This window comes from Homo sapiens, chromosome 17, assembly GCF_000001405.40.
Source record: "Homo sapiens chromosome 17, GRCh38.p14 Primary Assembly".
In the NCBI taxonomy this organism is placed as follows: domain Eukaryota; kingdom Metazoa; phylum Chordata; class Mammalia; order Primates; family Hominidae; genus Homo; species Homo sapiens.
Window position 1 is genome coordinate 41,100,712 of NC_000017.11, and position 24,928 is coordinate 41,125,639.

At 41.0% G+C, this 24,928-nt stretch overlaps 4 protein-coding genes and 1 long non-coding RNA gene across 5 annotated transcripts, besides 1 other annotated feature; 2 read left to right on the top strand and 3 right to left on the bottom strand.

The window, feature by feature from the left end:
- Positions 1 to 790: 790 nt before the first annotated feature.
- On the bottom strand, positions 791 to 1,498 carry KRTAP4-16 (keratin associated protein 4-16). The gene has a single exon (NM_001396067.1). It carries the CDS (start codon positions 1,496 to 1,498, stop codon positions 791 to 793), a length of 708 nt encoding a protein of 235 aa, NP_001382996.1.
- Positions 1,499 to 4,677: 3,179 nt separating this feature from the next.
- On the top strand, positions 4,678 to 5,777 carry KRTAP4-9 (keratin associated protein 4-9). The gene has a single exon (NM_001146041.1). The coding sequence runs from the start codon at positions 4,678 to 4,680 to the stop codon at positions 5,308 to 5,310; it is 633 nt and encodes a 210-aa protein (NP_001139513.1). The 3' UTR covers positions 5,311 to 5,777.
- A 1,743-nt stretch (positions 5,778 to 7,520) lies between these two features.
- LOC124904002 (uncharacterized) lies at positions 7,521 to 11,959 on the top strand. The gene is made up of 2 exons (XR_007065754.1): positions 7,521 to 7,668; positions 9,293 to 11,959. It is a non-coding gene; the product is annotated as an uncharacterized LOC124904002 (long non-coding RNA).
- A 4,510-nt stretch (positions 11,960 to 16,469) lies between these two features.
- KRTAP4-11 (keratin associated protein 4-11) lies at positions 16,470 to 17,662 on the bottom strand. The gene has a single exon (NM_033059.4). It carries the CDS (start codon positions 17,602 to 17,604, stop codon positions 17,017 to 17,019), a length of 588 nt encoding a protein of 195 aa, NP_149048.2. The 5' UTR covers positions 17,605 to 17,662; the 3' UTR covers positions 16,470 to 17,016.
- Positions 17,663 to 22,379: 4,717 nt separating this feature from the next.
- On the bottom strand, positions 22,380 to 23,471 carry KRTAP4-12 (keratin associated protein 4-12). Its single transcript, NM_031854.3, has one exon. The coding sequence runs from the start codon at positions 23,409 to 23,411 to the stop codon at positions 22,806 to 22,808; it is 606 nt and encodes a 201-aa protein (NP_114060.1). The 5' UTR covers positions 23,412 to 23,471; the 3' UTR covers positions 22,380 to 22,805.
- Positions 22,598 to 23,151: an enhancer, noted in NCBI's record as "H3K27ac-H3K4me1 hESC enhancer chr17:39279561-39280114 (GRCh37/hg19 assembly coordinates)". NCBI's record gives its function as "activates a minimal SCP1, AML or CMV promoter by ChIP-STARR-seq in naive H9 embryonic stem cells {active_cell/tissue: H9 hESC(naive)}" and the evidence as "EXISTENCE:reporter gene assay evidence [ECO:0000049][PMID:30033119]".
- Positions 23,472 to 24,928: the final 1,457 nt, after the last annotated feature.

The following is a 24,928-nucleotide window of genomic DNA, read 5'->3' on the forward strand; positions in this document are numbered from 1 at the left end:
CACTAGCAATAATTGTCTCTAAAATTTAATGGAGAAAAATCACACTGGGGCCTGTCGTGGGGTGGGGGGAGGAGGGAGGGATAGCATTAGGAGAAACACCTAATGTAAATGACGAGTTAATGGGTGCAGCACACCAACATGGCACATGTATACATATGTAACAAACCTGCACATTGTGCACATGTACCCTAGGACTTTAAGAATAATTTTAAAAAAGAACAATGTGCTCACAATTCTCAAGAGTAAATAGAAAAATATGTAAATAAATCTGCCAAGCCTATGTGAAGGAAAGTGTTAATATTTCCTGAAGGACATAAAATAACGTTTGAATAAATGTCAGAACAAGAGATGTGCAACGAAAGCCAAGTTTTCAAATAAATACATACATGTGTTATGCATGCATTTAATGAGGATGTATCTCAATTTGTAACATTAGGTATTGAATGGGATTGGCAAAGACCGTGATGGGAAACTTACCTTTGGTTGCATTCTTTTGTATTGTCTAAATGTTTAAAGAGCATATATTTGTGTATAAATGATATAAAAATCCTTAGAAAATAATAAATTTGATTTATATAAAATTCATAATTTTTTCTACAGATTCTGTTAAGTATGTTTTCTGCTATTATGTTTACATTCTTATTTCTTTCAGGAACTAAAATATTAAAAGTACATTTCAGTCAGTCATTTGAGCTCTCAAATTAGCTATCATGAATTTCAAATTGTTTTGGGGGACAGGCTGGGTTCCCCAGGAAGCAGACACTGAGATGGAGAGCAATATGCAGGAGGTTTATTGAAGCATGCTCTTGGGATTAACACTGGGGAAATGAGGGGAGGGGAGGGGAGGGGAGGGGAGGGGAGGGGAAAGTGAAGGGAGAGAAGGGGAAGGGGAAGGGGAGGGGATTAACACTGGGGAGAGGAGGGGAGGGGAAGGGCGGGGAGGGGAGGGGAGGGCAAGGGAAAGGAAGAAAGGGAGGGGAACGGGTGGGGAAGGGAAGGGGAGGGGAAGGGGAGGGGAGGCACAGCACAAGGGGTGGGGGCAGGTGGAGATGACACAGGTTGGGTGATAGCAAGTGACGTGGCAGGAGACTCGACCACAGACTGGACGCAGGCAGCAGCAGGGGCAGCAGCAGCTCGATTCACAGCAAGAGGGGCAGCAGCTGCTGGAGATGCAGCAGCTGGGGTGGCAGCAGGTGGGCTGGAAGCACACGGAATGGCAGCACTGGGGTCTGCAGCAGCTGGACACACAGCAGCTGGGGTGGCAGCAGGTCGTCCTGCAGCAGGTGGTCTGACAGCAGCTGGGGCGGCAGCAGGTGGGCTGGCAGCACACGGAATGGCAGCACTGGGGTCTGCAGCAGCTGGACACAGAGCAGCTGTGGGAGCAGGAGGTGGTTCTGCAGCAGGTGGTCTGACAACAGCTGGGGTGACAGCAGTTGGGTGGGCTGGCAGCACACAGACTGGAAGCACTGGGGCTGCATGGCATCTTTGAACTGCACATAGTAAAATGCAAGAGGAAAGAAATGATTTAAAGGTGGAATTCATAATTAAAAGGGAAACAGAACATAAAGATGTGGAAAATGTGGAGACTGACCATATAAAGAATGAAAAAGCATGCAAGATTGTGGCCAAGTAATGCTTTGTTACAAGGATTGATATGAATAGAAGGAAGCTAGGTGCTGTTCATCAAATCAGTGGGAGAATGGCTCTGAAGGCATTTCAAAGATCTTTGAAGCTGTCCCTCCCATCACAGGCTCCAAATGAGAGAATCTTAAGGTCAGAAAGGGTTTGGTACTCTCCACATTCTAGCACAGTGCCCCTTTGCTGCTCCAGTTGTGGCTCAAGTGGGTTTAGATGAGACTTGCGCTGCTGCTGCAGAGGCCACAAACTGTGAGCCTTGGTGGTGTTCATGTAGTACTGACTGTAGATACACAGACTGCAGGAGTTGTGGGGCAATGGTGGTCCACCTAGGTTTGAAAGGATGTTTCTGACAGCCTGCCTTAGGGGTGTAGCCACAGCAGAGAGGTCCTCCTAGGGCCATGCTCAGGAAAACGGGGGGTCAGAGCAGCCACTGAGACCCTAGAACTGTAGAACTATCAGCCTGCAATACTAGCCTGAGAGAGCTGCAGCAGAGACTCCAATCAGATAGCTGCTGTATGGGCTGAGCCCAGCAAAGCCATGGGGCAGGGCTATCTGAGGGCATTTGGGGCCTAACACCAAGGCCCCAGGCAGCCCTTCCCCATGTCGGGCACATCCAGGAGACAGCACATGGAGTCGAAGTTTATTCTCCAGTCTTAAGATTTAATGCTGTCTTCCCTGTTGGACTCACCTGGGGCCAGTTACCCTTTTTTCTTTCCTGTTGCTGCCTTTTGGAATGGGCCTGTCTATCCTATGCCTCTCCCACCATTGGATTTTGGAACTAGATAACTTCTTTAATAGGTTCACATATGGAGGAGAATTTGCCTCAGGATAAGTCCTGTGTTGAGTCTTATTCATATCAGAGTCACATGAGACTCTTAGATTTACATTTTGACTTTTAAGTTGGTGCTGGAACAAGTTAATACTTTGGGACTATTGGAATAAAATGAATATATTTTGTGTACGAGAAGGACATGGATTTGGGGGACCAAGGGTGGAATGCAATGGTTTGAATGTGTCCCTCAAAGTTCATGTGTTGGAAACTTGATCCTCAATGCCGCAGTGTTGGGAGGTTGGGCCTAACAGGAGATGTTTGGGTCATGGTGACACCACCCTCATGAGTGGATTAATGCTGTTATCACAAAAGAGGGTTCCTTATAAAAGGATGAGTTTGACTCCCTCTTTCTCTGTCTCACCCTCTCTTTTTCCTTCCACAGTGGGAAGACACGGTATTCCTGGTTATCTATAACCAAGTCTCATTCTATAAACAGAATCCTAACTTCCACAACTTTCCACATATGTTATTTATCAGGGGACATGTTACTTACCATAGAAATAAGTGTAGTTTTCCTGAAATGAAACTCTGATCCCCTTGTTTGGAATGTTTTCCTCTCTTTTATCCAGAAGTCAAAAGATATATACACTTTTAAAGGACCTTACATGCTTCTATGTCATCAAAAAGCCTTCATTCACTCAAGAAACATTTATCACCAGTGTTCTCTGTCCTGAGTATCATGGTAACAAAAAGAAACATCATAGCCCATGCATTCAGGGTATTTGCACTGTATATGGGGGAATGAAAGAAGTAAATGTCTATGATACAGTAGAATGTATCAAATTATGAGCACAAGACAGGAAATAATAATAGATGAATGGGGTAGCTTATTAGGAAATATATTATTGAGAAGGAAATATTTTAACTGGGTTTTGACACATGAGTAGGAGTTTGCAGAGTGGACAAAAAAAGATGAAACATTCCAAGAAGATGAAGCAGTCTCAGCAAGCTTAGCAAATTGTATTCTTTATCGCTTTCTTGGCTACACTAAGACATATTAGGCTTACTTTCTCTTTAATCTTGGACAAGTATTTTGTTTGTTTGTTTTAGCTTTTTAATGCTTCTTTTGAGTATTCTGCTAAAAGAGTAATAAGAATGTACCTACTTTTTAAGGTTGTATTAAAGAGTGAAAATGAAAAAGATATTTAGCACAATGTCTGGTACATAGTCAATACTTCACAAGTAATATATATATACACTGAGGGTGTGTGGAAATTATCCACATACTATACATTTTTATTTTAGTTGTTTAATGAACATAATTGTAATTCTTTTCATTTTTGCCAAATTCTGTTTCTTATGCATGTGTCTTATACAAGTACCTGCAGGAAAATGAGGAGGGTTTATCTGTTCTATACCCAGAGTACCCAATAGAATGTCTTGGATGCATATTATTGAAGGCTTAATAATTCTAAATATTGTTTACATATAACAAATGCTTTTGTCAATGAAAATCCATCATGCAGTTTTGATGATCAAAGGTAAATCAAAACTTCCTACTCCAAATGCCTATACTGTAAGACATACAGAAAAATGTGTTTTTACTCATTAAAGGCAATGAGTCATGGCTAAGTACTTTCACTTGGAGTGGTGGAATGAGATCTGACACAGAGTTTATAACTTCCTTGAGATCTGACCATCTCCCCAACTATTCAAGAAGCATACACGGAATCAGAGTCATCTTCATTATAGATGGGACATCCTTCTCCCGAATGAGTCCTTCCTTCTAATTCCTTTCCAACATTTCATCTGACCAGGACATTATTTGACAACAAAAGACACATTCACATTATAAAAATTGTCCCCCATGATTTGCAGAGAGCAATCTACAGGTAGGGGGGAGAATCACATTTAGAAATAAAGTGTCAGAGTCATGTGACCAGTGCTTTGTAAAAGACACTGCAGAGACCAGGGACAAAGGTGACCCCCACTAAGGAAGAAATATGACAAGTGTTTCCAATAGAAACACAGGAGCACAGCAGGAAAAGGAAATGGGTTATTTTCTCTCTTTTGGAGTATTTAAGTAGAAGCACACAATTATGTAATTACATGATTAAGTTTTCCACGAGGTAAATAATAAGGAAATAATGACGTGGTGGCAATGGGCCTTCAGCAGGGTATAAAGGTGGCTATGGACCCAGAAGACTTCCAAACCCAAGAACTTCACTCTCTTGGAAGCCCACCCAGATCCTCCCCGTTCTGACACCATGGTCAGCTCCTGTTGTGGCTCCGTGTGCTCTGACCAGGGCTGCGGCCAAGACCTCTGTCAGGAGACCTGCTGCCGCCCCAGCTGCTGTGAGACCACCTGCTGCAGGACCACCTGCTGCCGCCCCAGCTGTTGTGTATCCAGCTGCTGCAGGCCCCAGTGCTGCCAGTCTGTGTGCTGCCAACCCACTTGTTCCCGCCCCAGCTGCTGTCAGACCACCTGTTGCAGGACCACCTGCTACCGCCCCAGCTGTTGTGTGTCCAGCTGCTGCAGGCCCCAGTGCTGCCAGCCTGCGTGCTGCCAACCCACTTGCTGTCGCCCCAGCTGCTGTGAGACGACCTGCTGCCACCCTAGGTGCTGCATCTCCAGCTGCTGTCGCCCCAGCTGCTGTGTGTCCAGCTGCTGCAAGCCCCAGTGCTGCCAGTCTGTGTGCTGCCAGCCCAACTGCTGCCGCCCCAGCTGCAGCATCTCCAGCTGCTGCCGCCCCTCTTGCTGTGAATCCAGCTGCTGCCGCCCCTGCTGCTGCGTGCGTCCAGTCTGTGGCCGAGTCTCCTGCCACACCACTTGCTATCGCCCAACCTGTGTCATCTCCAGCTGCCCCCGCCCCTTGTGCTGTGCCTCCTCTTGCTGCTGAGCCCACTGCCCTGGCTTATCTCCCCCTTCACCACTGGCCCACAGATGTAGACCCTTCTACTGTGCTGACCATTAGGATACAGGAAGTGGGGTTGATGTCATTCAATAGAATGGAACTCATGTTTCCAATGAGCCCATCACCATTTCACTGACTCTTTGAGAACATTCTGATTCATTTTAAACTCCCTCCCTTGCTTTCTTTTTCTTCCGGTGGTGGCACCAAATGTGAATTAATTTGTAATCCACTAGCTAGAAATTATTCCAATCCTCTAATTTCCTCATTTTCTTTATCACTTTGAGGTACAGATCTTCTTCTCAGTGAGGCAGACATTATCTGCAGGACCAGTTTTGTCACTGAGGTTGCACCCTCAGATCCAGCCGCCCAGTTATATTCTGTGTTTCTCCTAGTGTGAATTTCTTATGCTTTGTTGCATCTCTGCTTTTTAATAAAATTTCTGTACATAAGAATTCATTGGTATCATTCTCTATTGCTTTCATAATTATTTTACTGATTCCCTGACAATTATATTTTACACAAAGACGCAGGAAAAGCAACCCGTGTTGAAATCACTTTGAAAATACATGCTATATCGAATATAGATAATTTACGGTATTGGAATAGAAGTGCTGTGTGTATATGTGTGTGTATGTGTGTGTGTGTGTGTGCACATGTGTCTTAATATCCTAAATTAAGACAGTTTTAATTCATACCTTAGCTCTTGAAACACATTTTATCTTTAACACATTATATCTCATAATACTATCGTCCCTGTTTTGACAAAAAAGATAAAACCAAATTTCTGAAAATTAGACACCAATGAAAGAAGGGAAATCTTCTATAAAGAATTTCATGTACTGAATTCATTTTACTCAATAACAACATTTTGGAATTTATAATCAAAAAGTGGGCTTTATTTCCCAGTGAGTTCTGCTGAGACAAAAAAGCATATTGAGCTGTAGTTCATCTGGATAGCATGGTATATTGCTGACTGTGGTCTCTACGGGTTTACATTATAATTTAAACAACTCCACACTTAACATTTTAATATATATAAACCCAGAAAGGATGAAAATTTCAAGGCTCGCTTTTCTTTTTAAGAATTATTTTATTGGAATTAGTTCAGTCTTGAGTAGGTCGCAGCTGGGGTGCATATCCTAATTAGAATTTCCAAGAGAGGTGCCTTCATTTGAATCTGAAAGAATATGGTAAGTGACTATAACTTGGCATTCTAGTAGGAGCACCTGCTCTTGATGTTTTTACTTTTATTTGACTATTATCAGCTCTGAAATGGCCTTAAGCTATTGAGCCAATCAAGTTTAAGATGATTTGTTCAGATATGTTCAAATATGAAAAATAAGCTTCATATTTTTTCAGATGCCTTAAGAAAAATGTTGTCCAGATCTCAGTCATAGAGTTATGATGCCTTCTTAAACATGAGGCAGGATAAATAAGGTTAGGAGGCTGTGAAAGTAAAATAAATATTGGGGCCCCCAAATCACTAAGCTAAAGGGAAAAGGCAAACTCGGAACTGCTTAGGACAAACTTGCCTCTCATTCTATTCAAAGTCACCCCTCTGCTCACTGAGATAAATGCACTGATTGCCTCCTTGGGAAAGGCTAATCAGAAACTCAAAAGAAGGCAACCATTTGTCTCTTATATACCTATGATCTGGAAGCCCCCTCCCAGCTTCGAGTTGTCCCGCCTTTGCTTCGAGTTGTCTTGCCTTTTCTGGACCAAATCCGTGTTCATCTTACATATGTTGATTGATATCTCATGTCTCCCTAAAATGTATAAAACAAAAGTGTTATCTGACCACCTTACACACATGTCATCAGGACTTCCTGAGGCTGTGTCACCGGAGCATCCTCAACCTTAGCAAAATAAACTTTCTCAATTAACTGAGACCTGTCTCAGATTTTCTGGGTTAACATTTTGGTAACTGTGAAAGGATTCTGAGTGGAGATGCCCTTGACCTTTGACGAATATCCTGTTGGTGCCTGGTAATAGCATGAGCTAACTTTATGGCTCAAATCAATAGGACAATTTGCTGAGGTCTGGGAGCACCCTCCCCAAAGAATCCCTGATCTCCCCAAATTTGGTGAAGAACTAAAGTTCATTTTGCTGTACAACTGCCCCACCTATTTTTGTTTTTGGAGTTTTACTTGCTTACTTGCCTTCCTTATAAGGAAGGCAAGATTTACTTTTACTTCCTTTACAAGGAAGGCAAGATTTCCTGCTTCCATGATGATGAAAGGCATGTAGAGTTTGAGCTCACTCCCAGCAGGGAAGACCAGTTTGAGTTTTTTTCCTGCTTCTAGGGTGGTAGAAAGCAGCCTTCAGCCTGAGACCCATCCCTAGGTAAGTAGCTGAACTGGGGCTTTGTCTGGGCTAAAGTTTAACAACCAGCTAGCTGCTCTTAATTTCTCCTTATCATTAGAGTGCTTGGTAATCCTATGGTTGGAGATTTTGTTGTTTGTTTTGGTCTTTCTCCCATCAGACTTGACCAACTCTACCTGACTTGGTCAAATCCAAGTGAGAATTCAAAATTACGGGTAACAAAACCTCTCTAATTTGGCTAAAATTCATTGCAGCTGCAAAAGAAGAAAACAAACAAAAAGAACCAAAAACCCATGCACTTGGTTTCTGTGTTTGCTTCCTGTCTTAAAACACGAATGTTCTTTCGTTTACTTTTCTTGCACCATATACCTCCTCCCCCTTTGCCATATGCAGTACCAAAAAGTCTAGAGAAGGCTTCTAATGACTTGAACCCCCTTAAAGAATTCAGAACAAAGGTTGCCACTCACCCCTTTTGGGGTGTTTTGTTTTCTTTGTGGAGTTTCAAGAGTCATGGGTAGATTCTTCTTAACTCTAAACCTCTATTTTCCTGTATTGCATGACCTGACCTCTTTGGCTTTGACCTTGTTGTGTATAGTGGTAGATGAGAGCTACAAAGTTAAGGGGTGGCTGAGCAAGGTTTACAAAAAGTGGTCTTGGCTGTTGTTTTGTTTTCCTTCTAGGAATTTGTCGTTTAAAGATCCTAATTCTAGTTCACAAATGCATTCTAAAGGATCTTCTCTGTTGCTTTTTCTCCCCAAATTAAGCTCAATTCAGCTTGTCTGTGTGCATTTGCATGAGGAACTGAACTGTTGTTTTCAGTGGTGACCCACTGTGGAGTCCTGCCCACAAATGGCACATATTGATCCACCACAGAAAACCTCTAGGCCTCAGCTCAGTTCCTCTTTTTAAGAAGAAAACTGGGAAACAAATAATCTAAGAATGAGGAGAAAGCAAAGAGAATGATTCCCTTTCAAGCACTCCATAGGTTTTATGGCACCTGTACTTGCCAGAGTTTAAGTAAAATGGAAGTAATATGGTCTTTGTGCATATTTACATTAAGAAAGAAAGGGCCCATGTAAATTAGTTCAACCATTGTGGAAGACAGTATGGTGATTCCTCAAGGATCTAGAATCAGAAATACCATTTGATCCAGCAATCCCATTACTTGTTATATACCCAAAGGAATACAAATCATTCTACTATAAAGACACAGGCACATGTATGTTTATTGCAGCACTATTTACAAGAGCAAAGACATGGAACTAACCCAAACGCCCATCAATTATAGACTTGATAAAGAAAATGTGGTACATATACACCATGGAATACGATGCAGCCATAAAACGGAGTGAGATCATGTCCTTTGTAGGGACATGGATGAAGCTGGAAACCATCATCCTCAGCAAACTAACACAGAAACAGAATACCAAATACAACATGTTCTCACTCATATATGGGAGTTGAACTTTGAGAACACATGGACACAGAGAGGAGAGCAACACATATCAGGGGCTGTTGGGGGGTGGGGAATGAGAGGAGGGAATTTAGAGGATGGGTCAATAGGTGCAGCAAACCACCAAGGCACACATATACCTATGTAACAAACCTGCACGTTCTCCTGCATGTGTATTTCATTTTTTTTTAGAAGAGAAAGAAAAGAAGGAAAGAAAGCAAGCAAGCAAGAAAGCAAGCAAGCAAGAAAGAAAGAAAGAAAGAAAGAAAGAAAGAAAGAAAGAAAGAAAGAAAGAAAGAAAGAAAAGAAAAAGAAAGAAAAGAAGAGCCTTAAGGTCAACCTACAAACTACAGAGTTCCTAAGTTCTCTTTTTTCTCTATTTTCTTTTCTGCCTGCTTTAAATCTGCTGTTATTTTTCTATTAAGATCAAAACCACTGTTTGGATACAACAGGCTTTTTGTTTGCAACCTGGTGAATTTGTATTTGTCTCATGGCTAAAGTTCTGAAGTAAAAGCTATAGGATTTCTGTGTGTGTGTTTGTGTGTGTGTGTGTGTGTGTGTGTGTATCTATTTAAAAGGCCTTTATAATTTTTATAATTTTATGTTTAATTGGCAATTAAATCCATTTTGACTTCCCTCTAGCACCACCAGACTTTTTCTCTCTGTACCTTATGATATAATTTTGCTATTTGATTTTTGCCTGAGTTGTTTCCTTTAACATGCAAACTTAAGGCTATTTAGCTGACAACTCCCTAGGGGAGTAAAACAGGTTATTAAGAATTTGAAAGCCTAAGATAGGGGAAAAAAGCTCCTTAAGTATCTATACGATGTACTTCTATCAGCATGCCTACTATGTCTATATATTTATGTGATGTGTACACAATTTCTCGCTACTGAAAATATATAAAAGAGTTCTAATTAATTGGCTTAAGATAAAAAGCACTTGAATCTAATACTTTATCAGGAAAAAAGAAAAGACTAGTTGAATGCTTTCTGAAGTTTATGTAACAAGTAAAATCTTTAATAAATAAGCTAGCTTTAAAATTATTGGTAAAGTAATATTAGACATGTCTTAAAAATTGCCAGCATGCATTTTTGTTTGCATTTATTAATCAAGCAATTTCATGCTTATCCCTGTCAAATACCATAAGGTGTCAAAATTTGCCATGGAGTTACAAAACTGTAATAGAATGATCTTTGCTTGTATAATCTTTAATAAATAAGACATTGATATTGGTTTAATAAAAATAGTCACATCTTGAATTTAGTGAGATTACTGTAACTTCTAATTTTGTGGTTTTGGTGGTCTAGTCCACAGGCAGTAAGATTTAGTTTGAGAATGAACTGTTATAATCTTTGTTTCAAAGGTAAACTATAAACTATGTTCCTCTCAACGTCTGTTCAGCCTGTGCCCAGGATTGAACAAGAACAGTTTGGAGGTTAGAAGCAAGATGGAGTCAATTAGGTCAGATCTTTTTCACTGTCTCAGTTATAATTTTGCAATGGCAGTTCCATAACTTTAAATGATGACTATTGCAGTTTTCATAAATAATCTAGGTAAACAATTCCTTTTTAAAAAGGTGAACAATTGTCATCTAATTCAATGCTTATTTAAAGATTATGTATAAGACAAGTTAAAAGGAACCAGGAAATCAGAGAGATGTAAAGAAAGGTATAAAAATAAAGAGGATAAAGAGGGTTCTTTTTGGTAAGGAAGCTTAAAGAGAAATAATTTCATATGAGAAAAGATCTTGTATGGTAAATTTAGACCTAAAATAAAATGATTGTTTAAGAAAGATGGATGTTCAAAACAAACCAGAAAGTCCAAGCATATCATGAACAGTCTGTAAAAGTCATAATAAGAGGATTAAAAAAAAAACCAACAAACTTTTATATGGTCAAGTTGTCTGTAATTAAAAGGAAATTATAATAGTCTTCCTGAAGATTGGGCTTCATGTAAAAAAAAAAAAGCAATGATAAACAAAATAGTTAGAGCGATGAAATTTTCTTAAGGGATTGATTTACTCTTATTAAATTATAAGAGATTTTAATTTTTTTAACCCAAAGTTCAACTGTTTACTCGCTGTTTTCTCTCCCCTTCAACTCGTTTGCAGCTCATATAAGTTATTTTCCTTAAATTCTATTTGTTATGGTCTGATGCTAACAATGTTTTCTAAAAGTCTAAAGAAAATGTTTTCTTCCAAAGTAATATTCTGTGCAGTGTAGAAGGTCTTTTCTTTTGCCTTTGGGTAATTGACCTAACAGATTTTATGGCTTATTGAAACAATGCTATGCTGTTATTATTAATTTTTGATTTGCTCAGGAAAAAGTATCTGAGATAATTTTTTAAAATTAAGGTTATTACATCCATGTATATTTCTGTAGGTGCTTTGAAAGTACCTGTGACATTAAGTTACAGGCCTTTGACTCCTGGGTCTAAAAAGGACACCAAGGTCTGCTAAATCTTAAGCACTGACAGCAATTAAAACCTCATCTTCAGGCCTGGTAGAAGATGCCAATCAAAATAAACTGCATTCCTGAGACATAAGGCCAGAAGTAAAAGCTATTCAACTCCTCAAGGCTCAGGAACTACCACAGAAGAGGTAGGCATGTGAGATTGTAAGGGCTGATTTTGAGAGACAAAATAAGTTCAGTTTCTCTGCAAGTTAATAATTGATGTCAAAGGCACACTGATGCAATACCAGCATACGGGCCCCTGCGTCAGATTAAAAAGGTTTTCTTGAAGTGTTAACCGACCCCTTAATAAAGGTTATAAAGGTTAAAAAAGGCTTATGGAAGCTGTATCTTATGGTCAAGATTAAAATTTTAAAGATTGATAATAAAATTTCAAAAAACAAATTTAATTGGCTTTATGCTGTTTTATTTGGGCTTAATGTTTGAAAAATTGACTTATTTTATGATGACCTATCAAGTATTTTAAACTTTTGATATTTGGCAAAGTTTCCAGAATCAAATTACAAGTTGTGTATTTTTCTGACCTAATTAATCCTCTAAGATATTAGTTTCCCTAAAGTCCAAAAATGAAATAAATGACTTATTTGGTATAAAAATTATACAGGAAGCATTGTCAAATATAAAATGGTGTTTGGTTTTCTTTGGGCTGTATTTGTATAAAAATGTTATTGGTATGTGCACCAAAATTATGGGAAACTCCTATAATTCTGATATGACATGGTGTACAATATCACTAATAATTATAATTGTTATATAAAATTATCGTGTGCCACAGTGGTAACAAATTTTCTTGTCAATTGTGTCTTTGATTATGGCTGACCTAAAACTTTTTGTCACCCATGGACAATTGTTTTGTTTTAGTCCTTTTTAGAAGATGGTTTTATAATCAGCTATAAAACTCTAACACGTGTTCTTGAAGGCAAGTTTCTAATAACTTTGGAGACTGTGACATCAGAATGGAGGAAAAGCTTTCAGAACTCATGGAGACCTGAAATGTTCATGAATAGCAAGCAGAACAGGAATTAACTGCATGAACTGAACTAATAGAAGAGCAACGTAATCTTTTTGACTTTTTGCTTAAAATGTTGCTGCTCCTTGTTTTCCTTTTTTTAGTCAAGGAAACTTTTATTTGAGCTGTTGTCAGCTTTTAACAAGTTAGTATACTCCTGTGAAAAATATTTGGAGCATATTTGTTTCTCTCTACCTGATTTTCCCCAGAATTGGAAACTATCTGTGAGTATTCTTAACTTATGGCAATACAGTTATTTGCATAAGTGCAATAATAATCTGTTTTCATGTGTAACAAGACACAATTGGAGAAATTGGTCATTTTACCAAGGCTTTGACTGGAATGGTGTGCTCTCCTTTAAGGAATCAAATTTGACTTATGGAGCCAATAAAAGCCCCTTGGGAGAACTGGCCTCATACCTTATCTACACAGTCCCTGTACAGGGTTCCTGACCTGTGGTAAGTAAAGCATGTCACTTTCTAACAGTTCCAGGAGCCCCAAGTTTATCTTGGAACCTCAAGAGCAGAGGAATTCATGCAACTCATAGGTATTTGATGGTACAAATCCATGGCTAGGCTAAGCTTTCCAAAAGTCTTATCCGAAATTCCTTCTATGGAACAAAGTTCTGATAGGGACAGGGGGCTGAGAAATTCTAGGCAGAAAAGGGTAGGTCTCTGACAAAACCCCACCTTCAAGCTGAAAAGCCTTAAACCACGGCCCAAAGTGAGAACTTATATCCCTGTTTTCCTGCTTGAAAGTTGCCTTTTTCTAAACCACTCATGGCTCCATCCTGTCCATCCTATGCCTGTGAAGATGCCAGACTCAGCTGGCAGAGGCAAGAAGCAGCTGGACATTGGGAACTACAGCTGGACGTCAGAGAGAAGCAGCTTGATTCAGAGGGACAGCTTGATGGTGTAATCTTGGAGAAGAATCCAGCTGGATACAGCCTAACTTTGAGGAAGATTACCTACCCACCCCATCCTTTTTCAGCTCCGCTTTCTGCTAAGAGCCACTTTCATCAGCAACAAAATCCCCCACATTTACCATCCTTTGATTGGTTCATGTGACCTCACTTTTCCTGGACACAAGACAAGAGCTTGGGAGCCAGGAGAGCAGATACAAAAGACTGTCACACTGGCCCTCTGCCCTTGCTGGTGGAGGGCAGCTGCCTCACACAAAAAGGCAGAGGCCTCACTGAGCTGTTGACACTTAAGCCATCCATGGAAGGCAGAGTTAAAAGAACACTGTAACATGCCCTCTGGGGCTATGGGGGTCGCAGGCACCCCCACCTAGATGCTGCTGTGGGGCCCACACAGAGTTTGCTCCTGCCGGTGGCCAAAAGCACTCACTTTGGCTCCTGCACTGATTCACCTGCATGCTTCCTCCCACAAGCAGGGGACTGCAGCAGGTCCCAGTGAGTGAAGTTTGATCCTACCGTGCTGCAGTGCCGATTCCAGCACACGTGCACTCCAGTTCCTGCCTCATTTGCTTGCATGCTCGCTCCTGCAAGGAGTTGAGAGTGGCAGGCTGAATAAACGAGGCACCCGTCACAAGTCCCACAAAGGGGTCAGGGAAACATCCTGCTTCAGTTCCATCAAAGGCAATTTAAAAGCTTATGCAAAAAAAAAGTATTACTATGGCTGCGCTGTATACAAATAATCAGGTCAAGTATAATAAAGAAAATCAGCCCTGCCATGATTTGTCTTTAGTAAAAATGGGAAATGGGAGAGAGAAGAATTATGTTTCAAAAAATGATAATACACCTGTTGTTAGATTCTAGTCTTGCCTAATGTTTTCCCATTTTTATTATTTTCTACAGTTTCCACTGAATTCTAATTTTTCTTGGCTACAGGTCTTCAAAAGATTGTTTTCAGTTTTTTTTTCTTCTTCTTTCCCCCATTTTTCCTAATTTGGAGTCACTGAAAACTCATCTGTGCTTTTGTAAAGCCCTGCGAACTGGAGCTAGAGAATTTAAACTTCAGAAGAAAATACCAGCAACCTGTTTACATACATAAGCCACTTTCATACCTGCCTACTGATGTATGGACTTCAGAGTAATGTGGCCCATATTGATTTTCCAGGATTGTTCTTTTGTTTATTTTTGTTTTTCTCCCTTCCTCCCCCTATTTTCTCTTCATAGGACATGAAACTTCACAACCTGCTAAAAATGAACTTTCCTAATAACTCAGGAATTATCTTTCTAGGAATAAACAATCCTAGCCATGAGATATCAGATGAAACTTGAGACCAAAGACTGACTTTCTTCAAAAAGGCTTTCTCAAAAAGATTTTTAAGAAAAGGGGGGAAATTTGAAAGGAAAATAAACCTTGGGGCCCTGAAATCACTAAGGTAAAGGGGAAAGTCAAGCTGGGAACTGCTTAGGGCAAACCTGCCTCCCATTCTATTCACAGTCACCCCTCTGCTCACTGAGTTAAATGCATATCTGATTGCCTCCTTTGGAAAGGCTAATCAGAAACTCTAAAGAAAGCAACCATTTGTCTCTTATCTACCTATGACCTGGAAGCCCCTCCCCGCTTAGACTTGTCCCGCCTTTTCCGGACGGAACCACTGTTCATCTTACATATGTTGATTGATGTCTCATGTCTCCCTAAAATGTATAAAACCAAGCTGTGCTCTGACCACTTTGGGCACATGTCTTCAGAACCTCCTGAGGCTGTGTCACAGGTGTACATCCCCAACCTTGGCAAAATAAACTTTCTAAATAAACTGAGACCTGTCTCCGATTTTGGGGGTTCACAAGGCCATACTGACTTGTCCCCTGTGTGAAGCCCAGCAGGATCCTTTCACAGCAAGCTCTTTTCACTTGAACCTTTGTGCATCAGTGCCTAACTCTTTCACAAGATAAGGGGTCCTACAGAATCGAAGCAGACCCACCAGAGGGTTACAAGTTCCTGATACCTAGTACAACCTGGGAAAGAGAGCAAAAGCCCTTTATTCCTGATGCAGCTTCCCCAATCTCTAGCCAATTTGCACCAAAAGCCCAAGAAACTCCTAACTACAAATTCCTTCCTGGGGTGGGGTGTTTGGGAGGGTGGGCAGGGACTTCTCTGGGGTCCTGCATGCACAGCTAGGATCAAGGTTCAGCTTATAGTAACCATTTCCTCATTTTAATAGTAAAAACAACCACAACAAGAAAAACACCCCAAGGCGGAGATTTCATATGCTAATGATACATGCGATGGGTGTTAGACCACGTGGATCCTGAGCACATGTGCCAACCGCAGGTCTGCCTTTGCATACTTGACCTCACCAGTATTTTATGATTATGTACGTATAGCTCCCATAAAAGGAATTCCTCTTACAGCACTAGCTGCTGTCTCTCCCACTGAGCACCCCACTCTGCCTCTCAAAGAGTACTTTTGCTTTGCAACAAATTTCTTCGCTTACTCTTACTTTGGATTTGCTCTCAAATTCTTTTGCACAGCAAATTCAAGAACCTGAACTGGTCCACCGACAACAAAATAACAAAATTCCCTTATATAACATTTGGAGTCTGCCTTAACTGATTTGAATCAAGATGGAATGCAGTAGGATGAGATGTGCCTTTTAAATTTGACACAGAAGAGTGAGGAGTATTACCATGATATCATAAGTTCTAAAATCATGGATGAACTTACAAACAACAATACTGGGGCTTTACCTATCCCAAAGCATTCCATATATCAAATTGAAACAATCAAAAGCTTCTATTTTATTTTAGTTTATGCGTGACATTGGAGCAGTTTGGCACTATGAGTTCATCCCTGAAGTCTTACTTTGGAATCATGCTTTGAGAATCCCCTTCTACTGCATTCCCACCTCACCCCCATGAATCAGTAAACTCAGTGAAAATTATCACAAAAAAATGCAAAAAACAATAAAAGATTTCTAAATGAAAAGTTTAATACAATATATTTTGTGAACACAATAAAGATAAAGAACCAATAAAATAGAAAAATTCTGGCAAACTTGAACAAACAGAGACAAAGAGAGAACAGGGAGAAAGCAGGAGAGCATGGGAGGGGCAGCCTCCTACCTTTCCAAGAGAAAAGAATGACTGAAAGGCTGACAGACAAATAATATGTTTGAAATGGAGATAATGTGTACCTCACTGGGAAGGATATTCTGTAGGCTCAAAACGATTTAAAAAATGAGGAATTTAGAGGATTGGAATAATTTCTTAGCTAGTGGATTACAAATTATTTCATATTTGGTGCCATGACTGGAAGAGAAAGAAAGCAAGGGAGGGAGTTTAAAATGAACCAGAATGTTCTCACAGAGTCAGTGGGATGGTGATGGGCTCATTGGAAACATGAAGTCCACCCTGCTGAATGACATCAATCCCACTCCATGTGTCCTAATAGTCAGCACAGAAGAATGGTCTACAACTGTGGGCCTGCAGTGAAGGGAGAGATGAGCCAGGGCAGTGGGCTCAGCAGCAAGAGGAGGCACAGCACAAGGGGCGGGGGCAGCTGGAGATGACACAGGTTGGGCGATAGCAAGTGGTGTGGCAGGAGACTCGGCCACAGACTGGACGCAGGCAGCAGCAGGGGCGGCAGCAGCTGGATTCACAGCAAGAGGGGCGGCAGCAGCTGGAGATGCTGCAGCTGGGGTGGCAGCAGGTGGGCTGGCAGCACACAGACTGGCAGCACTGGGGTCTGCAGCAGCTGGACACACAGCAGCTGGGGCGACAGCAGCTGGAGATGCAGCATCTGGGGCGGCAGCAAGTGGGCTGGCAGCACATAGACTGGCAGCACTGGGGCTTGCAGCAGCTGGACACACAGCAGCTGGGGCGACAGCAGCTGGAGATGCAGCATCTGGGGCGGCAGCAGGTGGGCTGGCAGCACACAGACTGGCAGCACTGGGGCCTGCAGCAGCTGGACACACAGCAGCTGGGGCGACAGTAGGTGGTCCTGCAGCAGGTGGTCTCACAGCAGCTGGGGCGGCAGCAGGTCTCCTGGCAGAGGTCTCGGCCACAGCCTTGGTGAGAGCACACGGAGCCACAACAGGAGTTTACCATGGTGTCAGAGGGTGAAGGATCTAGTTGGGTTTCTAGGAGAGTGAAGTTCTTGTGTTTGGAAGTCTCCTGGGCCTGTAGTCCCTTTATACCCTCCTGAAGGCCCATTGCCACCACATCATTATTTCCTTGTTATTATTTACCTACTGGAAAAATTAATCATGTAATTACATCATTGTGTTTCCAGTTAAATACTCCAAAACAGAGAAAATAACCCATTTCCTTTTCCTGCTGTGCTCCTGTGTTTCCATTGGAAATGCATGTCATATTTCTTCATTAGTGGGGAGTCACCTTTGTCCCTGGTCTATGCAGTGTCTTTTACAAAGCACTGGTCACAGGACTCTCTGACATTTTGTTTTTAAATGTGACTCTCCCTCCTACCTGCAGATTGCTGTCTGCAAATCATGGGGGATGATTTTTATAATGTGAATGTATCTTTTGTTGTCAAAGAATGTCCTGGTCAGGTGAAATGTTGGGAAGGAATTAGAAGGAAGCACTCATTTGGGGAAGGATGTCCCATCTGTAATGAGGATGACTCTGATCCCATGTGTGCATCTCGGATGGTCGGGCAGATGGTCAGATCCCAAGAAGTTCTAAACTCTGTCAGATCTTATTCCACAGCCTCCAGCGAAAGTACTTACCCATGACTCACTGCCTTTAAAGGGTAAAAACACATTTTGCTGTATGTCTTACAGTATATGCATTATGAGTAGGAAGTTTTGATTTATCTTTTTTTTTTTTTTTGACAGATTCTCAATCTGTCGCCAGGCTGGAGTACAGTGGCATGATCTCTGCTCACTGCAACCTCCACCTCCTGGGTTCAAACGATTCTTTTGCCTCAGCCTCCCGAGTAAGGTGGTTTGCGCCATCACACCCAGCTTACTTTTGTATTTTTAGTAGAGACAGGGTTTCACCATGTTGGCCAAGATGGTCTCGATCTCTTGACCCCGTGATCCACCTGCCTTGGCTTCCCAAAGTGTTGGGATTGCAGGCATGAGCCCCCAACACCCAGCCTGATTAATCTTTGATCATCAAAATTGCATGATGGATTTTTCATTTACAAAAGCATTTGTTATATATAAAGAATATTTAGAATTATTAAGCCTTCAATAACATGCATCCAAGATGTTCTATTGGGTACTCTGGGTGTAGAACAGATAAACCCTCAACTTTTTCTTGCAGGTACTTGCATAAGACACATGGATAGGAAACAGTTTGGCAGAAATGAAAAGAATTACAATTATTTTCATTAAACAACTAAAATAAGAAATGTATAATATGTGGATAAGTTCCATACACCCTCATGGTATGTATATTACTTGTGAAGTATTGACTATGTAGCAGGCATTGTACCAAATATCTTACATTTGTTTCATTTTCACGCTTTAATAGAACCTTATGAACTAGTTTATATTCTTATTAGTCTTTTAGGGGAATACTCAAAAGAAGCATTAAAAACTTAAAACAAACAAACAAACAACTTGTCCAAGGTTAAAGAGAAAGTAAGCCTAATATGTCTTAGTGTAGCCAAGAAAGCCGTAAAGAATACAATTTGCTAAGCTTGCTGAAACTGCTTCATCTTCTTGGAATGTTTCATCTTTTTTTGTCCACTCTGCAAACTCCTACTCATGTGTCAAGACCCAGTTAAAATATTTCCTCCTCAATAATATCTTTCCTGCTAAGCTACCCCATTCATGTATCATGATTTCCTGCCTTGTGCTCATAATTTATACATTCTCCTGTATCATAGTCATTTACTTCTGTCTTTCCACCACGTGCAATGCAAATACCCTGAAGGCTTGCGCTATGGCATTTATTCTCGTTACCATGATACTCAGCACAGAGAACACTGGTGGTAAATGTTTGTTGAGTGAATGAAGGTTTTTTTGATGACATAGAGGCATGTAAGGTCCTTTAAAAAATGTATATATCTTTTGACTTCTGGATAAAAGGGAGGAAAACATCCCAAACAAAGAAATCATAATTTCATTTCAGGAAGACTAAACTCATTTGTGTGATAGGTAACATGTCACCCGATAAATAACATACGTGGAAACTGCGGAAGTCAAGATTCAATTTATAGAATGAGACTTGTTTATAGATAACCAAGAATACAGTGTTGAACGTGCATGCCTATATTCACACAGTAAAAAGACAGGAAGGAAGTAAACGCCAGATGGTAGCACTGGTTCTCCTTCACCTCCTGACTTCCTCGTTTTACTCTTGTTGATTGAAATAACTATTATTTCCTGTTTCGTATCAGTCAGCCAAAAATGTTTGCTGATAATCTGTTGTCTTAGCTTAAATTCTACCCAATGCAAACCTTGAGAAAAAGACCTGAGTGCACATAATTTATTTGGGGGATGATCCCAGGAAGCACAAGTGAGGAAACGGTGAAAGTAAGACAGGAAAGGTAGAAAATCCCAACAGTGTTTGTGTTAATGGTAAGGCCCCCACTGTGGGCAGCTGGGGACGAACCCCAGGGACAAGCCTGAGGCTGGAGGCACTTGGCCACCATGATTGCACACCTGTAAAATCCTGTAGAGTCAGCTGGGTATTAGTGTGAATCGCGAGATCAGATAAAATATGAACTTATACTAATCCATAGACTTTTTATACACTAGCAATAATTCTCTCTAAAATTTAATGGAGAAAAATCACACACTGGGGCCTGTCGTGGGGTGGGGGGAGGGAGGAGGGATAGCATTAGGAGAAATACCTAATGTAAATGACGAGTTAATGGGTGCAGCACACCAACATGGCACATGTATACATATGTAACAAACCTGCACGTTGTGCACATGTACCCTAGAACTTAAAGTATAATAAAAAAAAAAAGAAGCATGTACTCACAGTTCTCAAGAGTAAATAGAAAAATATGTAAATAAATCTGCCAAGCCTTTGTGAAGGAAAATGTTAACATTTCCGGAAGGACATAAAATAATGTTTGAATAAATGTCAGAACAAGAGATGTGCAACGAAAGCCAAGTTTTCAAATAAATACATACATGTTTTATGCATGCATTTAATGAGGATGTATCTCAATTTGCAACATTAGGTATTGAATGGGATTGGCAAAGATCATGATGGGAAACTTACTTTTGTTCACATTGTCACATTCTTTTGTATTGTCTAAATGTTTAAAGAGCATATATTTGTGTATAAATGATCTAAACATCCTTAGAAAATAATAAATGTGATTTATATAAAATTCATAATTTTTCTACATATTCTGTTAAATATATTTTCTGCTATTATGTTTACATTCTTATTTCTTTCAGGAACTAAAATATTAAAAGTACATTTCAGTCAGTCATTTGAGCTCTCAAATTAGCTATCATGAATTTCAAATTGTTTTGGGGGACAGGCTGGGTTCCCCAGGAAGCAGTCACTGAGATGGAGAGCAATATGCAGGAGGTTTATTGAAGCATGCTCTTGGGATTAACACTGGGGAGGGCAGGGGAGGGGAAAGGGAGGGGAGGGGAAAGGGAAAGGGAAGGGGAAGGGGAGGGAAAGGGAAGGGAAGGGAAGGGAAGGGAAGGGAAGGGAAGGGAAGGGAAGGGAAGGGAAGGGAAAGGAAGGGAAAGTGAGAGAAAGATCAAGTTTGACACTGGGATAAATCAAACTGCAGGGCAATCTCCGTGGAAGTCTCAGATGAACCTATAGGGAGTTCTGGAGATGAGATGACCCATTAGAGGCATCCCTAGTTGGGGAGAAATGTGGGTCTTTATAGTTTCATCCTAAAAAAAGGGCATGACTTTGGACGAAAAGAAAAAAAATCAGTCTCCAGCATACCTGTGAGTTTTCACTAGGCCTGCTTCCTTCATTTCCATCACCTGCCTGGCCGTGAAGGTGGCCCTCTCTACATGGCAGCATGAACTCCCCATTGAAACTCTGCCAGTCAGAATGAAGGAGATCCACTGTGTTTGTGTTGAGGATTCATTACACATGACTCAGTAGAAAATACATGGACTTTGCTAAACCACCTAATAGCTGCTTTTACTGGAAAAAAAAAGAAATTGAAATACAGTGTTTTAAAAGATCACAGCTCTGTGCACAATAGTAAAGACATGGAATCAGTCTAGGTGCCCATCAACAGTGCATTGGATAAAGAACATGTGACATTTTCACACCATGGAATACTACACAGCCATAAAAAAGAATGAAATTTTGTCCTTTGCAGCAACATGGATGTGGCTGGAGGACATTATCTTAAGCAAATTTTTCCAGGAACAGAAAACCAAATATTGCATGTTGTCACTTACAAATGGGAGCTAAACATTGGATACACATGGACACAAAGATGAGAACAATTGGGGACTCCAAAAAGGGGGGAGAGAGGGAGAGAGGAAGGGCTAAAAATGACCCACTGCTCAGTACCTGGTGACAGAATCATTTGTAGCCCAAACCTCAGCATCACACAACATGTAACAAATACGAATATGTACTCTTTGATTCTAAAATAAAAGTTGAAATTATTTTTTAAAAGATGATGAGTTGTGATCAATCTTTCAAAACGTTTCCCCTGTTGTTATATTCATGGATATTTCATGACTTCAGCTTCACTCTTTTTGTCTAAAGAATACAAAATGACTAATTGATTTGCCTAAGCCTGAAAAGACTTTTCTAGAAAAAAACTAGGCAGTGATCGATGTCAGTTGACCTCTGTTAGAAGGTTGACTAATCTGTGCTGTGAGCCCTACAGGTGTAGTTAAATGTAATCACCCAGGACCTAAATATAAAACCCTTTTTAAAAAGAGAATAAGAATCATATTCAATTTTCAGTGCCAATAGAATAGAGGTTTATTTTGGTACATGGAAATAACAAGGTACAAAAATGTTTGCAAAAGACTTTAAGAGAGAGACTTCACTGGACTTCAAGGTTGGAGGCTTTAAGATCTGTGGCCCTACAAATGATGGAGGCAATCTTCAAATTCCTTAGGCATGATGAATAAATGTCCTGAAGTCAAAGAGGTGGGAGGATGTTGGAGGACAATTTGTCAATTTATTAGGAGATTGTCAATGAATTCCTTTGGAAGGAAGGGAGTTTGGACAAAAGGTAGAATGCAAATACAGAATTTCTAAGGATGAGGTTTGCTTATGGGACCCAGATCAATTCTCTTGAACAGTCCGCATGTTTGCAATGAGAGCCTTCATCTGTAGGAAAGGACGTAATAAGGAAGTGGTGTGTTCACAGCAGAGATTTAGCAGCAAGAGGAGGCACAGCACAAGGGGCGGGGGCAGGTGGAGATGACACAGGTTGGGCGATAGCAAGTGGTGTGGCAGGAGACTCGGCCACAGACTGGACGCAGGCAGCAGCAGGGGCGGCAGCAGCTGGATTCACAGCAAGAGGGGCAGCAGCTGCTGGAGATGCAGCAGCTGGGGCGGCAGCAGGTGGGCTGGCAGCACACAGACTGGCAGCACTGGGGTCTGCAGCAGCTGGACACACAGCAGCTGGGGCGGCAGCAAGTGGTCCTGCAGCAGGTGGTCTGACAGCAGCTGGGGCGGCAGCAGGTGGGCTGGCAGCACACAGACTGGCAGCACTGGGGTCTGCAGCAGCTGGACACACAGCAGCTGGGGCGGCAGCAGGTGGTCCTACAGCAGGTGGTCTGACAGCAGCTGGGGCGGCAGCAGGTGGGCTGACAGCACACAGACTGGCAGCACTGGGGCCTGCAGCAGCTGGACACACAGCAGCTGGGGCGGCAGCAGGTGGTCCTGCAGCAGGTGGTCTGGCAGCAGCTGGGGCGGCAGCAGTTCTCCAGGCCACAGCCCTGGTCAGAGCACACAGAGCCACAACAGGAGTTGACCATGGTGTCAGAGGGTGGAGGTTCTCGGTGGGTTTCCAGGAGAGTGAGTGTTCTGAGTTTGATCTCTCCTTGTTCTCTCTTTTGCTTTTTATACCCTGCTGAGAACCACTATGACAATGTGAATAATCTTGTGGTTTGCACATTACTAATAGAGAATCAGTTGTTTTTTAGTAAATTAGATAGTTGTCCTTATCTGGTAAATATTTCTATAAATAGAAAAGGCAACATTTCCTTTTCCTGTTGTATTCTGAGCTATCCAATTTGGTTAAGCCAAGTGAATCAGCTCTCATTCTCCTTCCTTCATCTGATGTGTCTTCTGATGTGTAGACCCATTACATGACATTGTTTGATTGGATTTCATAAGTTAATTCTTTATTTATTTGACTCCTGGATAATAAGTTGAAAATAGATTTTATGATGACTAAATCTCCTCTGCTCTCAAAGAGGTTAAAAATAAATTACATAGAATGCTGGTAGGAAAATGTGATGAAAGATTCATCTTTGGGGGGTGATAGGAGGTAACTTGTGTATAATAAGGAACACTGTGATTCCTTTGAATTTTGTGGCTGGTCAGTGAGATATAAAAGATCCCACTGAAATTCCTGTTTCATGTTATTGACTCTATTTAGCTTGAAACAGATATAATGCAATGATTCATTGCTTTACAAGTAAAAATACATTGGCATGATAGGTCCCTTTATAAATTATTGTTGGCATGTTCTTCAGAGATGGGGATCATAAGGAACATTTTTGTTCTATTTTGTTGGTAAGTCAAGATACCCACTGAATGTGTTTAACTGAAGTGTTATTGAAAGTAGATTTTCTCATACTCGAAAGCTGCTTTTTCTCACAATGTATGTTGGAGATATTTTGCTTGATACATGGAGAAAAGAAACAAAGGATCAAGTTTAATTTCTGTCCTACAGAAGCTTAAACAAGACAAATAAGAAACATGTATAGGAAAGAATTTAGCAACTATTTAGAGAATGGTGTGATTAGTGAACAAAATAACAATTATGTATTTAATCTGTACACTTCCAATGAAAGATGAAACAATACTAATAGTTATAATTTTTTGAGTGCTTACTATGTGTCAGGAATTTTCTGAGTCCTCTATAATTGTTATCTTGTTTATACTTCACAAGGATTCTGCTATGTAGACACAATTTTTCTAAATTCTTTACATCCAAGGTACTTGAGGCCCAGATAGATTGAAGTCACACAGTCTGTAACAGGGAAAGGGCGTCTCTCCTAGAGTGTTCAAGGAACATTTTGCGCATGAACATTTTGCAATTAAATCCCTCCTGATATTTAAAAACAATTATTTATAATTAAAAAGATGCAAGGTATGTTCTCACTCCTAAGTGGGAGTTGAACAATGAGATCACATGGACACAGGGAGGGGAACATCACACACTGGAGCCTGTCGGGGGTGAGGGACAAGGGGAGGGAGAGCATTAGGACAAATACCTGATGCATGTCGGGCTTAAAACCCAGATGACGGATTGATAGGTGCAGCA

Coding starts and splice junctions, on each gene's coding strand:
- KRTAP4-16 (NM_001396067.1), bottom strand. CDS start 1,498: ATGTGCAGTTCAAAGATGCCATGCAGCCCCAGTGCTTCCAGTCTGTGT.
- KRTAP4-9 (NM_001146041.1), top strand. CDS start 4,678: ATGGTCAGCTCCTGTTGTGGCTCCGTGTGCTCTGACCAGGGCTGCGGC.
- KRTAP4-11 (NM_033059.4), bottom strand. CDS start 17,604: ATGGTAAACTCCTGTTGTGGCTCCGTGTGCTCTCACCAAGGCTGTGGC.
- KRTAP4-12 (NM_031854.3), bottom strand. CDS start 23,411: ATGGTCAACTCCTGTTGTGGCTCTGTGTGCTCTGACCAGGGCTGTGGC.